This window comes from Homo sapiens, chromosome 13 (assembly GCF_000001405.40).
Source record: "Homo sapiens chromosome 13, GRCh38.p14 Primary Assembly".
Classification (NCBI taxonomy): Eukaryota; Metazoa; Chordata; class Mammalia; order Primates; family Hominidae; genus Homo; species Homo sapiens.
In genome coordinates this window covers 101689749-101705794 of record NC_000013.11, presented here as the reverse complement: position 1 = coordinate 101705794, position 16046 = coordinate 101689749, and the positions used below count along the sequence as shown (strand labels likewise).

Sequence of the window (16046 nt, the reverse complement as noted above, 5' to 3'; positions counted from 1 at the left end):
ACTGATTAGCCTCTCTGAAGCTGTTGACACCGTTCTCTCCTGACCATTTGCTCTGGCAGGACCCTCAGGAGTGAACCTTGCTCCATCTGCTCCCCCTCCATTCAGCTCTCCACAGGGAGGATGAGTAACCAATGCTTAATGGTTTGCAATTAATTATTATAATTATTTTTTCTTTTTTTTTTAGGAGTGATAGGAATTTCTTTAATTTCTACAGAAATCCCTCTAACAGTTTAGTGGAGAATGAAATAGATGGCTGTGAGAATTGAGAGCATGAACGTGTGCAGACTGGTGGAGAAGCCCAAGTTTTGGCATGAGAAATACAGTGAAAAATGCAGTAGAGTAAATGGAGTGAAGGACACTTGCGAGAATGCGGATCGGTAGGACGTGGTAAGTAACTGTGGTGAAAAGGTTTTTGATCACTGAGAGGTAAGCAGAAGTCTCCTGGAGAGGGTTTCTTGGAAAACTATTTTTTTTTGTTGTTGTTGTTTTTTTTTTTTTTTTTGCTTTTTAAATTAAATAAGAGAGATTTTCCCTGGGTTATACCACATCCCTACCTCACAGGCCATGCAACAAGTGCCTCCTAACAGCCAGAGAAGGTCTGGGAGAGCGGTTTTTTAATCCAGCATATGTTGCTCCCCTGGAGAAAATTGGGATCCTGAAAGAAAGACAGGATACTAGGAATGTCTGACATTCTTTTAAAAAATATTCTGGGAAAAACATCGGATACGAATGGGGGACTACTAAATCTGCAAGAAAAATGTCGCTGCCATACCTTTAACATGCACTCAATCAGCAAGTGCTCTGGCACTTTCTAAGGCTAATGACTGTTCTTGTCACACAGGTTAGCAAAAAAGGAAAAAAGTAAATAAATAAACAAATAAATGAGGTAATTGTGGTCTTTTTCACCTAGCTTGATTTACATGCAAAGTAAAAACAAACAAAGAAACAAACAAAAAACCCAAAAACTGAAACCATTAAAGTTTAAAAGTAGCATGCATGTAAACATGTGACCGATAATTGGCTCAGCCAGATCGGAACTGACTCTAGTTCCTCTGATTCCAATGTCTACACTCTTCCCAATGTGTTGCTTTGCTTCTATATTTCACTTTAGAAAGTGAGACACAGCAGGATTTCTTAATTCTTGTCTCTTTCAACCACCACATCATTTGAAGGTATATATTTGATATTCACAGGCACTTTCTCTCCTTGCAAGTCTCTTCTCTATTGGCATGCCACAAAATTCTCTTGGCCTCATTCAACACTCCTCCTTTGTCTCTATTTATTCTTCTACTTTTTTTTTTTTTTTTTTTACTGAATGAATAAGTGCAGGTATTCACCCAATGTTTATCTTTAATCATCTTTTTTAATCTCTCCATAATTTCTTTCTTGAAAAATCCATTAAATTTTGGGCTTTCAGATAACTGCCAAGACCACAGGGCTGTATCTCCAGCCCCTGATTTTCTCCTACATTCCCCTTTCATGATTCCACACTTTGTGTTCTATTAGCATCCCCACTTAATACCTCCAGAGCTACATAGGCAGGGTCCGACCCATAGACCCTGGTGGAACAACGGATGAACAAATGCACCCAGACACAGGTATCCAGTGAAAGAGTGGGCTAGGGGACCAGGCTGCTCACAGACACCAGACACCAAGGAGGGTGCTGTAAAGAGTCAGCAGCCGTGGCCCTGACAAGCTGGCACTGCAGGCATTTATTCAGTATAGATTTAATCACAAAGGCTCTGAGTCAACACACTTGTGGGCAATTTACATGGTCTCTCCCGTCCCCTCCCCTCCCCAGAGAGAGTAGTCCTGCACTCAGATGATCAAAGCCCAGGTTCCAAGGCCTATGTTAACTTACTTATTTAGATTAGTTTCACCAGATAAGAGAATCTGGCTGCCTTCAGCCAAATCCTTTTCCAAAGCTTTTGTAAAATCTTCCAGCCTTCCAAGAAGGTTTGCATCTTCTACAATTTTTCCCACCACCCTGACCGATCTCCTACATCCATATATGATTTTCTTTCCAAAAGCTGCTTGTCTTTCTCATTTCTTTTAATGTAACAGCTATCCTTTCAATCAACCAGTTCATGATGTTTTGAGTCTCATTTGAATTTCCCTTACTGCCCTCATCCAGCTTGTTGTCAAGTCTTGTTGAAACCACCTCCAACATTCCCACTTACATCACCATCACAACGTTGGAAAAAACTTCCTGTCATGTCTCTCCAATACTCTGGCTCGTAGATTCCTACAGCACAACTTGCCTTGATATTTAGTCCCGTATAACTTCCTAATACTCATGGCATAGAGTTTACCTACTCTAGCCTTTGTTATGTTTTAGCTTCTTGAAAAACAGAAGCTACATTTCCAATTGTATTCCTTCTCTTCTCCCTTTAACCAAACTGGCCCATTCATTGTTTCCTGCACATTTGTCATGCTTTTCTGACCTCATGTTTTTGCAGAGGTAGAAGTACCTTTCCCTTACTATACACATTCAGGTTCTGAGTAATTTTCAAAGCTCAGCAAAAAGCGACTACCCTTCTGTGAAGATTTACCTAATATCCCTAAGTGAGACTCATTGTCTCTCCTCTGAATTTCTGTAATACCTTATTTTTTTTTTTTTACCTCCTGTGGAACTTTTTTGACTTCCATCTCATGGTATATAGTTATGTGTCAAATGAATCCACTACTCTACTATGAATTTTCTGAGTATTACTTCTGTCAGCACTGTAGTCTTCAGAGTGCCTAACACAATGCCTGAGACACAGTGGATCTTCAAAAACTTGGAGGAGATTGAAATTGTCTTTTTCAAAACATCTTTCTCATTTTTACCCACAAATCAAACTGTAGAGTAGAGCCAAGTTAGAAAACTGGCACCCCTACGCCCCTATCTACTCAATGAATAATTGTTAAATTGAGTACATCTTTACTTCTCCATGAAAACCAAAGTCCACTTAAAGTCCAGATGTCCTTAAAGAGTTAAATAAAAAGTTGTCCATCTTTGAAGGCAGAGAATCTGTTGTACAAGAAACCAAAAATGAAGAGAAAGAGAGCTTCTAGTACCAGCTCAATTGGGCTATGAACTTCTCAAATGCTCATGTTTCTTACTGACCCTAGGTTGGTAAGAATTATCACAATTTGACACAACTGAAATCATTTAATCTGTATTGCATAGAAAAATATTCTGTCTTTTTTTTGTTTTCTGCCTTTTTTTTTCAAATTTAATTAGTACTATATGGAAAATGAAAATACATATTATGAAAATGTGTAGGATACAGCAAGAGTAATACTTGGAAAGAAATTTACAGCATGAATGCAATCAGAAGCAATGAAAAATATAAAATCAGTGATGTAATCTTTCACTTTAAAACACTAAAGAAGAGCAATATAAAACTAAATTGGTCATAAGAAAAGAAATACAATCAATTCCATGACAAATCAATACAACTGGAAATAGAAAACCAACAGAGAAAATCAATAAAACAAAAGTTGGCTATTTGAAAAGATCAATAAAATTGATAAATATTAGGCCAGGCTAAACAAGTAAAAAGAGAGAAGACACAAATGTTCAATATGAAAATTAAGAGAGAGATGATTATATCTTACCTTATGGACATTAAAAGGATAATAATAGAATATTACAAACAATGATTTGTCCAAGAATCTGATAACCTGGATCATTTGGACCAATTCCGTGAAGACACAATCTATTAAAACCCACATAAAAAGAAACAGATAATTAAAGTAGACCTATGGCTACTTTTTTCTACAATATTTTTTATTATGGTAAAATAGATATAACATAAAATTTACCATCTTAACCATTTTAAGTGTATGGTTCAGTAGCATTAAGTATATTCTCATTGTCGTACAACCATCACCACCATTCATCTCTAGAATATTTTCATCTTCCCAAATTGAAACTAAGCACCCATAAAACAGTAAGTCCCATTCCCTTCTCTTCTCAGCTCCTGGAAATCACCATTCCAGCTTCTGTCTATATATCTGACTACTCTAGGTACCTATATAAGTGAAATCATACAGTGTTTTTCTTTTCATGACTGGCTTATTTTATTTAACATATCTTAAAGATCCTTCCATGTTGTAGTATGAGACAATTTTTCCCCTTTTAGAAGTTGATATTCTGCCTTTGATTTACAATATTATTAAGAATAATTTTATGGCATCTCATTGCAAATAATATAAAATGTTATGCAAGAAAATAGATGATTTTTTATTTATTTATTATTATTTTATTTTATTTTTTTGAGATGGAGTCTTGCTCTGTCACCAGGCTGGAGCGCAGTGGCAATTTTGACTCACTGCACCCTCCGACTCCCGGGTTCAAGCCATTCTCCTGCCTCAGCCTCCCGAATAGCTGGGATTACAGGCATGTGCCACCACGCCCAGCTAATTTTTGTATTTTTAGTAGAGACAGGGTTTTACTGTGTTGGCCAGGATGGTCTTGATCTCCTGACCTCATGATCTGCCCGCCTCGGCCTCCCAAAGTGCTGGGATTACAGGTGTGAGCCACTGTGCCTGGCGATGATTTTTTATTATTAGCTAATCTATTATATCCTTCCACGAAGTTAAGTTGGTATCTAGCTCAGCCAATCATCAAAATACATTAATATTCAAATGCTTTGAGTTGTCATTTATATGACTTTACTTAAGAACAAAACAACTTTCAATACCCTCTTTTTAATAAACTCTAATAATTTAGTTATCTCTTCAAGAAATATTTTCTATGTATCAGGAATTGTATTAACAGCTTAGAATATAACAGTAAGTAAAATAGGCATTGGCCCTGTCTTCATGGTAATTACGGTCTTCTAGGGAAGAAAATAACGATAAGCAACATTTGAGTAATAGAAGACAAAAAGAAAATGCTAGTATATTCAATAGCAAGAACACTGTTAACTAGGGTAGTCAGGGAAGGGTTCAGTGACAGCCAAGGGATGAGAAGGAGCCAGACAGCCAATGTTCTAGGAACAGAGCCTAGAAAAACAAATGAAAAGTTCTTGGGACAAGAAATAGCTTGGCATGTTACAGGCAGTAAAAGAAGGCCAACGTGTTTGAAGAATAGTAAGTCAAAAACACTGAATAATGAAGGTGGAGAAATATTCCCTTCTCAGAAATGAGAACATAGCAAATGATTTACTCTTGGTAAAAAAAATCTAAATTTATTTTAAGAGGATTGAGAAATGACAGAAGGATATTAAGGAAGTGAATGATGTGACGATATAGTTTACACTTTGCAAACTCATTTGGCAACTAGGTGGGACAGATTAAGGTATGTTGGGAGGAATGAATATGGGGAAGTTAGAGGGTTCTTGCTGTTTTCCAAGTGAAAAGTGATAGAAGCTTAAAGGACAGTGGTGGCAGTGGAAACACAGAGAAGTACATGGAAATCTATTTTGGTGATGGAGCCTGTATATGTGGGACACAATGTTGGACTGGATGTGGCAAGTGAGGAAAAGACAAGACAAGTTTTCTAGCTAGAAGAAATAGTGTGAATAATGATGCTGTTTATTGGGTAGGGGCACTTCAGGAGAAAGAGGTTGAGGGCAGAAAAACAGCTCTGTTTTGAGCCTGTTGTATTTGAGACACTCTTAAGACAATGAGATAGTGAGGTCAAGTAAGCAGCTAGGCACAAGCTGCTGCTCAGAGAACATGTTAGTGCTGGCTCTAGGCATACACATGTTAGAGCTTACAAATGTGGATGGCACTTAAAGCCCTAGAAGTGAAGCAGCTATCCAGGGAGAAATTAGTCTTGGGGACCCCAATATTTAGAGTTAGGTAACTAGAGAAGCCAGACAAGAACATTCAGTAAGGAAGGAGAAAACTAAGATTGTGTTGTCTCATGAAATGACAAAGGAGCGTGTCCCATACTGGAGGTCTACTAAGTGGAATGTTCCTGGAAATTTGAGTTTAAAAAATAAGACCATAGAAGTAGTTTTATTCATCTTTTGTCTCACCAACACGACTGTGTTGCCACTTAGACCTGTAAGAGGAACACCCAGGAGTGGTGGAACTGTTGGAGAATCATCTACATGGACCATTCATTGATAACAACATCTGTGTTTAAAGAACTGCCCAAGACTCGGTAATTTGGAAGGAAAGAGGTTTAATTGACTCACAGTTCTGCATGACTGGGGAGGCCTCAGGAAACTTACAATTATGGTGGAAGGGGAAGCAAATATGTCCTTCGTCACATGATGGCAGGAAGAAGAAGTATGAGAGTCGAGTGAAGGGGGAAGCCCCTTATAAAACCTTCAGATCTCGTGAGAACTTACTATCATGAGAATAACATGGAGAAAACCACCCCCGTGATTCAATTACCTCCCACTTGGTCCCTCCCACGACACTTGGGGATTATAGAAACTACAATTCAAGATGAAATTTGCGTGGGGACACAGCCAAACCATAACAATGATAAACGTCATACTGGAAGGGCAGAGCAGAAGAGAGAGATGGGGTTCAGGGACACTGTGGTGCTCAGGCAGTCGCCTCACCATCCAACCCTGGAATGACAACCTGAAGACTCAGTATTTGTGTCTATCACCTTCAGCCAAACACAGGACTAACTGATCCTCTTACAAATTCACGAAACAGGTGTGCAATTTTAAGATGTAATTTGGAGACAATCACATTCTGACTGTATTGTTCAGTTAAGAAAGGGTTAGTCTGAGTGTGTGATCTGATCTCTTCCTCATACAAGAAATCCATCAGTGCCTGGGAGTCACTGAATTCATACTCTCAGGCGGCATGATCTCCTTCAAATTGCAGCGATGAACTAGAGAACTCCCTGAAGAAATGTGAACTGATTGTGTAATTAAGAGGTGGCTCTTCATTATCCCTTCTTGTTTTTTAAATTGGACTCATGGGTAGCTATTCCAGGAGTATAGAGGAAAGAAGAAAAGCAATAAGCAGCCTAGTTCTTATTCTCACCCTAGGTATATGGCACACAGGAGGGAAGTCTCTGATTTAACTTATATTAGGCTAAACAATTAAACACACATGTGCCAGTATGTGAATATATTTCACTTGTGTAATCTTAAAATGATATACCAATAAAATAAATAAATCTTACGAACTATCACTGGACAAGTCATGCTTTTTATAAATAGTGACTTATCTGATAATAAATCCATGCATGCATAGGTTGCATAACATCTTCTTTTAATAAAGATGTTTTGAGAACATCCACAGACAGTCTATGATGATTGAACATGACTCACAAGTTAATTAAATGAAGAACGATCTCACTTCATGCTGATTTTCTTTCTGCTAGTCATTTTCATGACTCTTTTCCAGGTTGTAATTTTGGTGTAATCAAAACTGAACTGTAAAAATTATGAAATTAGTTACATTCACCTTCAGGTACAATTGCTAATTTATCCAACCTATCAGAATTGGTTTAATCATCTTTAGTGTTATTGGTAGGAAAGGGGATAAACACTATTGGCTCTTAGTGCTCATGCATCTGCTGATCAGTTAAGTTTATACATGTTTTTTATCTTACTTATTTGCTTGTTTGCTAAAATGCTAAGACAGTCCCTGATTTTGGAGTCAAGTACCATATTTTACTCTCTGGCCACATGTTGGATATATAGGTTTTATATTCTCCATATGAAAGGCCACAGATCTTATGGTTTAGTGTCTGGTGGAGAACTAAAAAAATTACCAAAATGAGTGACTCTCTTATTTTGTTATTCTCTGAAGCCATAACAGAGGGATGATGTCTGTGTGTTTCACATTCTCATATTAGTAAGATTTGTTCTCCACTGGAGAGATGATGGGGGGGACTAATTGCTTTGGAAAAACCAGCTGCAATTTCCTCCCCGAGGTACAGAGCTGCTGATTTGTGTGAGTCCAACTTCCTTGCAAAACGCTCTGCAGCTAGTGCTTCCAGATACCTGAGACAGATGTATTATTTTGTTCTGTAATGCAGATGGCCACTACAATCTTTTATTTTTATTACAGATACAGGGCATTCATCAAATATTCACTGGCACATAGTACCAGGCACATTTCCGTCTTTATGTCTCTTTCTTTCCATAAAGCCAAATGGATTATTATCCTTATTGTATATAGGAGTAAACCAAGGTAGACAGGTCAAACAAATACATAGGTAAACCAAAGCAGAGAAGACAAACAACCTGTCCAAGTTACTACAATAAGCAGGAAATAGACCCAGAATTAAAATCCTGGTCTGTCTGAATACAGGGTTCCCATTCGTCTTGCTATATGGCACTGCCTCACTTAATTCCAAAGAAAATGGTTACTTCTTCTCACTTAAATCTTACATGAAAAAATGCAACAAAGTGCACACCATGTACATTAAAGCAACTGAGGATACCATACAATGTGGACTTTCTCTAGACAAAATATCAAAATACCCAAAGAAGATTTATGAATTTATATTTTGAAAATAATTTTACTCCTCAGAAACAAAACCTAGGAAGAAATACAACATAGTGTCATCAGATATTATTCTAGGATGATCAATTAATGGGTGATTTTTATTTTGTGGTTTCCATTTCTCTCTATATATTTTTTTAATTTTGAAAGCAAAAACACCAATTTAACAATATTTTTAAAGACCTGATATCTAAAGATGAGCCAAGTATAAGAAATGAAGGTGACATAATATATATTATAAATAATACATGAGTAAGTAATATGTGAAAAAAATCCTTTCTAATGATGGGTACAGAAGCAGCTGAGAAAGAGCTCTTGATGTAAAAAAAAAAAATGAAATCGATATTTTCCTTCAATATCTAATAAATAACTTTTCACCTGTGTGCTTTTGCCCAGCTTTCCCAGGCCTAAAATATTCTTCACATCCTATTTCTGCACATCTAAATACTAGTTGTTCAAGGTCCAAATCACATCCTCACCTCAACTTGAAGAATCCTGTATCCAAAACTGGAATAGTTCTTCCTTTCTCATTCTCCTTAATTGTGAATCCTTTACTTGATCATTTATTCAAATAAAAATATTGAGCACTAACCTTTATCCTAGCTTTGAGCATATGATAATGAGAGAGAGAGATTGATTATATCCATGAGAATTGTAGACTTAAAGAAAAGGGACACAGGGACACTCTCAATACAACTTCATCACACTACGATGCAGGTGGTGCGGTATAGAGGAAGTAGGACATCATTTCAGAGAGGCTTCCTATAGGAGGTAATTTGGAAAAATCATGGAAGAATGGAAAGACAATAAGTTATTCACAAGGAGAAGTGACAATAAGGACTAGGAGAGGGAACTAACATACCCAAGGGATATGTTCCAAAGGGAGCAACATATCCAAGTTTCTCCATCTCTGTTGCTCTCTGTGAAGAAACCAATTTTTCAAGAAATGGAGACAACTGGTCAAGACAAGCATAGTCTCCTCCACCATTCAGTTGCTCAAAACAGAAACCTGGTGTCATCCTTGATCCTACCCTGCCCCTCATATTGTGCAATCATGAATTTCCTTAAATATGCTTGTACTCTGGGGAGGGAGCTCTAAGTTTCAACTAAGCTCTCAGGCTGACACTTGCCACCAATCTCCTTTGAAGGCTGTGGGACAGGAGCCACATCTTACCAGCAGGCACTGTCAGGCACCAGGATATACCCATGGGAGTTCTTGCAGGAGTTCATGAGGATGAACTCATATAATTGGGGACTATTTTCTCTTGGGATAACACAGCCCATATGCACAGAGATGAGATCCACACTGCACAGATGTTGAGGCTTTTCTGGCTTAGAAGAAGTCGCACGCCCAACAGGAGCCAAAATCTTTCCCGATGATTCCGTAAACAGCTTTCAAGGAGCCCACAAGGGACAAGACTGTTGGCAGAGTTATGACACTTATGAAATCCAAAAGCATGAGGTTCCCATCAGCTGCTTATAGTTCAATTCATCATCTCTTCCAATGTAGTTGAAACTTATCAATCATAAATCATTATGACCATGAGCAATGTTGCTTGTTAACACTGCAATGCACCATCTTCATCTGTTGCCAGGGAACCAGAGCTAGGAGTTTAACAGAGTGCTGGAGTCTCTTGCAGCAGGGTGAAGGGTTTTGTTAGTCTCTTGACCCCACTGCTTCTAACATGTTCTCCAACACATTCAAGATCCTCCACCTTTACTGTCTTCCATCCAGCTAAGGCACCTTCATCTCTCACCAGGGCTCATCTCCTAACATCCAGATTCACCTACCAACCCACAAACACACATAGTCCTTGGAGCAATCCATACTCCATCTGACAACCAGAAGTACTTTTTAAAACACTGTGATCATGTTTAAGCTCTGTTTAAGCCCTTCCTTTGGTTTCCTGTCACCTTTAGAGTAAAGCCTCAAGTTATTAACATGTTTACAAAACACGTCACACTCTTTTCCCTTTGGTTTTCTAATCTGCAATCACACAGGGTTTTTCTCTGGTCCTCAAATGTTCCTGGCACACGTCACACACTCTCTTTTCTCCCACACAACTGAGCACAAGCTGCTCTCTGACTGTACCCCACTTCCCCTACTTGGCCAAGTTCCATGTATCCTATTACTACCAAGTATTGTTGTGAGGTGTAGTTAATACCTGTAAAGCACATAGTCTGCATTACATAGTTGTTATCCAGATATGAAGGCATTAGAGAAGTCTTTCTTAGCCTTCAGCCTATGTTAAATCCCCGTTATGTATATTCCCATTGAATCAAATCTCTTTTCAGATCACTCAGCTCCTTTTCATTCCTTTCTCAATGTCCTCCCTTCACGCTCAACCATAAGCTCCAGGAGAGCAAATGCTCTATGTTCACCACTGAATGTCTAGTGCTGGCAAATAGTAGACACTCAATGAATATTTGTTTAGTTAATGAAAAAATAATTACTTCAGTTTAAACCATGCGTAATTTGGAGGAATTCCCATATGAAAATCTTTTATTAGAAATTGAAAAGAATCTAAAGCCAAGGATGACTGATTGCTGATCAATCATTTCAAGAGACATTGACCTAAATATGAAAGTGGAAGAGACTGAGATTACTCCAAAGCAACAAATAGACAGAAAAAACATACAAAAGCCATTTCTGGCCAGGCTCAGTGGCTCACACCTGTAATTCCAGCTCTTTGGGAGGCCAAGGCAGGAGAATCCCTTGAGCCCAGGAGTTCAAGATCAATCTGGGCCACTTAGTGAGACCCCCAAATCTCCACAAAAAATAAATAGCCAGCTGTGGTGGTATGTGCCTGTAGTCCCAGATACTCAGTAAGTTAAGGCCAGAGGATTGCTTGAGCCTAGGAGTTTGAGGTTTCAGTGAGCTCTGCTTCTACCACTGCACTCCAGCCTGGGTGACAGAGTGAGACTCTGTCTCAAAAAGAAAAAAAAGAAAAGAAAAGAAAAGAAAAGTAACAATGGTAACAAGAGCAGAGACATGTAGATGGCACTTTCAAGGGGCCAGGCAAGCTTTTTATACATGAATACGTATATATACATACATACATATTGCTATGATAAATAAATGAGTTAATATATGTCATGTCCTTAACAAACAAAAAGAGTAAAACCTACATAGGTATTTCTGGTTAACTAATACCAGTGAACAGAGGATTTAACCTAAGAATAATATTGACATATTGTTAAAACACGTTGGTGTCACTCTAGGGAAAACTGTGACTGACATAAGGAACGATCTGTGAACTAAATATCAGAGCTGAAATTCTGGGTCTGCCACATTTTAGTTATGGGATGTTAACTTCTCCAACCTCACTCTATTTTCCATTTATGAAAGAAAAAATAGTAGAAACAATCTCTTAGGGTGGCTGCCATGACAATGGCATAAGATAAACTGCCCAGCACAGCAGATGTTTTACGAATTTATGCCTGGTGTTCCATTATTGGGACGCTAAGCATGTGGGAGTTTTTTATATCCTACTGCTCCAGGTCATCACCAAGGTCTGACTGCAAAAATTCAAAAAAGTCTAACCTCAGTCATTAACAGGTTAAAAGGGCTTTTCCCCTCAACTCACAGAGAAAGGAAAGAAGAAAGTATTTTTTTGTCAGGTTTCAAATGTCTTATCGTTGGTTAGAGAGAGAACAGGCATATGGATGATTGATATAGATAGATAATAGATACACAGATAATAGATGATAGATAGATAGATAGATAGATAGATAGATAGATAGATAGACAGACAGACAGATAGGATGGATGGATGGTGCCTCAGCCTTCCATTAAGACACACACTCTACTACCCATTAGTTATTTTTCCTGATCCTCTCCCTCAACCCACCCTCCACCCTCCAATAAGACATATGTAACAAGCCTACCTATGCATCCCTGAACTTAAAATAAAAGTTAGAAAAGACACACATTCTGTTTCTTTCCCCCAATAAAGGGATATAATTATTTTCTTGTAATGTAATTCCATGTCCACATCACTTCATTTATACTGGAAACGTGGAAAGATCTGTAATTCACATGCATCAGCCTCAGCGATATGAACTTTTTCAAGAATGCAATGCAAGAATAATGTTGACCCACATTCCCAGCCATGGAGGTGCTCGGATCAGCACTCTACTCCTGGGACTCTCATTTTTGTGGGTTACCTCTGCTCACTACCTTCTATCTGCCTCACTCATTCTCTGGACAGTTTATTAATGCCAGTGAGCTCTTGTTTGGGTATGAGAGGCATCATAGAATCTGAGCGTATACCTCTTGTGATTTCTAAGAGTAATCTTACTCCATTTTTTCAAGTTTGTGGGTGATATTATACTTTCTCCTACCAGTGTTTATAAATAAAGTAATGAAAATCATGTTAAAATGCTGACTTGCCCCAAAACCTTTCACGATCATAAAGTATCTTAGTACTTAGATTCAATGATCTTTTATTGATAGTGTACTGCGTACTTTCACATACCTGCTAAATAAAGAGTTCAGGGAAATAAAAGTCATTACAAACCTAATTGTATATTGCTTTTAGGTTCAATGGTATATTGCTTTCTGTTTATCTTATTTTTAACAGCAATTGAAAAAGCAAGAGTCAGTAGAATAACAAAGGCAGGTAAAGCAAGTTGCATGCAGGTAGCATACAGCTATGAGAAAGGTTACTACCTCCACAGACCACACCATCGAGGTCTTCACAGCGGCGATCATCACACTCACAAGTCTTGCCATACACCCGGCGATCTCCTGGAGGATAGCAGGTGCATTTGCCACATTCACATTTACCTGGAAAGTATAAAGAAAGTGCACACTTATGAGGAGAGTCCCGGAATCACTAAGGCTTTCAAGGAGGTGAGCACACTATTAAACCCAAATCTCCTAGAATAGTTCCAGTCTGTGCCTGATAATAGTTACACAAATACACATTTCCAACCTCCCTAAGGTAAGCTGAAGTTCAAGAAGAAATTCCGTGGTGGTCTGGAGTGGAAGTGGCAGTTGCTGTCTCAGAAGTCATTCACATTTGCTATTCTCTAATTTTTGTTTCATTCATTTTTGAATAAATCCATTATAAAACTCTCTGGCTATTTCATATACAACTTATCCTGATGATTCCTTGAACATAACATAATACATTATATATACTGACATAATTTAGTATGATGTGGCCATTTTAAAATGTTTTAATCTTGGGTCTATCTGCTCCATGAGAAAAAAAAAGTGGTCATAGGTAATATTTCAATGTGCTATTTTAGTGACTATTTGTAGTCAATTTTATAGTTCATAGAACTCATTTTAGCATAGAACCTATGTCAAAGAGCATAACCTAAATATCTTTATTATCCTCGTCTTAAAATTTAAAATTATAAATATTTTTGCAATGAATTTGGTTCATCGTTTGGGAACCCCTTAACTAGTCCCATTATGCTGACTTTCATCATGATTTATTGAGTGGTAACTATGTGTCAAACACTATCATTCCCTGCATGACATCATTTCATTTTCCAACACCACACATTGACTAGAATCATTACAATCATTTTACTAAACAGGAAGCCGAGACATATTGAGGCCAAGTAACTTTCCAATGGTGAACCAGCTAGGAAGAAATAGATTCAAAATTTACATCCATTCTCATTAACCTCAAAGTTTGCACAACTAACCATTAAACCACATTGTATCTTAATGTACATCTAATGCAGCACCGGAAGGCTATATGAGAAAGTAAATTTCTTTTGTTTGAGGAATCACTACTGGTTTGCCAGAAATTTGCTTGGGTGACAGTGCTCCGAGACATCTGTTACTCCCTGTCATTAGCCCAACCATCATAATTACACACCCACTGAAATAATCACAAGATGCTTCAGGGCTGACCTTGCAATGTTGTTAGTCACTCTGTTGCTGAACTTGTATCTTGTTAAAGAAATTCTGAGTTGGTGGATGATGGGGGAAAGAAAAATTAGTATTTAGGATCATATAATTTCAGAGCTGTAATTAAAGATAATCTAATGCAATGATTCATAATATTTTCTAGCTGACATGATGGGGTCACGATCCCTTTGAGAATCTGGTGAAAGACATGGCAATACAGTGTTGTGCTGGCTGACCTTCAACTAATCTCTACTTGGAGGTAGTCCCAGGTTCAGCAGGAGGCAGGGGTCCCTCCTTCAACGATATTCCCTCTTCCTATACCCTGGCAGCTAGAACAGGCACACATCAGACACCCTTGGTCAGGGCTTTTATTCTTGAGGGTGAAAGCAAAGGCACAACGTCTGTGGGCAGTGTGGCAAATGCAACAGCATAGCAATTCTGGGAGCCTTGAAGCTCAGCCTGCAGTGGCTGACATTCAGAAGTGATGGCAGCAGGAACTGGTTCTTGGCAGTGCCTTGCTTCCCCAGGTTGCTGCAGGAGCTAATTGTTCAAAGTTGCATTCTGAGCCTAAAGCCTTCTAATAAAATATTTTTTATCCCTTTTAATGAAGTTGGTTTTGTTGTTTGTAATCAAGAACCATAATTGGCAGAACACAGATCTATCCCTGGAAAAATATACCAATACACATTTTTTTTGGTAAAATGTCAGAAGGATCCATGACTTCCTTCAATTTATTTAATAGATGAGGAAACTCAAGCATGCTGGGGCTAAATGATTTGCCCAAGGCCAGCTCTCTATCTATTAGTAGTGTTGGTTTTAGAACCTAGATTTTCTGAACTCCAGTCACCTTTCAATGTGCATAAATGCTCTAATCTTTTTCATGGGTGGATGTGCAAATGATTCCAATAATGCAGGCTGTGGGGAGAAAGAGGCAAACTGTAGTACCATCAGCAGTGTGGTCTGGATATGGTGAACTGTTCCTTCACACACAGATGTGGGAAGCCATGATCATCAGTTGCATTATTCCTGAGGGGCAATGCATTCCAGTTACATAGAACCAGTTTCTACGTTTCAGGGTATATGTATTCATGGTGACAAATTTATTCACATTTTAAGTAATTTTAAGTAATTCACATTTTAAGTAATTTTCCTGAATGTGCCTCATTGGCTTCTGTGCCTCTTCAGAAAAGATGAACTAAACACTGGCATATGTGTTCAGATTTCAACATTCCGTTGTTTTCATTGTGGATAATTTCTGTCCCATATTTTTGTGTAAAGTTAGACAATAAAGTGTTAATATTCTGGCGTCGGCACATTTTCTTTCCTGATAAATAACAATTCACATATCTTTTTAAAATATCAGAGAATATAGTAACCAATTTCCAATTCTTTTTTCACCATGTATCTATTGGAGTTTTAAAATGACTAATACTAAGGCAACTATGAGATGAATTAACCTTTTGCATGTAACCCTAATACAGTTTATAAGATACAGTGGCTTCTGATAAAAATCAAAAATAACGTATTAGGATGGGCACCAAAAATAGAATAAGACGTACTGTTTGGTAGCACAATAGGATGACTACAGTCAATAATAACTTAATTGTATATTTTAAAATAAGTGAAAAAGTGTAACTGAATTATTTGTAACTCAAAAGGATAAATTCTTGAGAGGATGAATAACCCATTTTCCATGGTGTGCTTATTTCACATTGTGTCCTATATCAAAACATCTCATGTCTCCCACAAACAT

The 16046-nt window shown here is 37.9% G+C and overlaps 1 protein-coding gene across 4 annotated transcripts in view; it reads right to left on the bottom strand.

Annotated features, from left to right (window-relative positions):
- ITGBL1 (integrin subunit beta like 1) overlaps positions 1-16046 on the bottom strand; it is a 268182-nt gene that overhangs the window by 15062 nt on the left and 237074 nt on the right. For all 4 annotated transcript variants that reach the window (NM_001271754.2, NM_004791.3, NM_001271755.2 and 1 more), the window contains one exon: positions 13094-13210. In NM_001271754.2, the coding sequence (NP_001258683.1) occupies positions 13094-13210 (117 nt within the window). The remainder of the gene's footprint in view (positions 1-13093; positions 13211-16046) is intronic.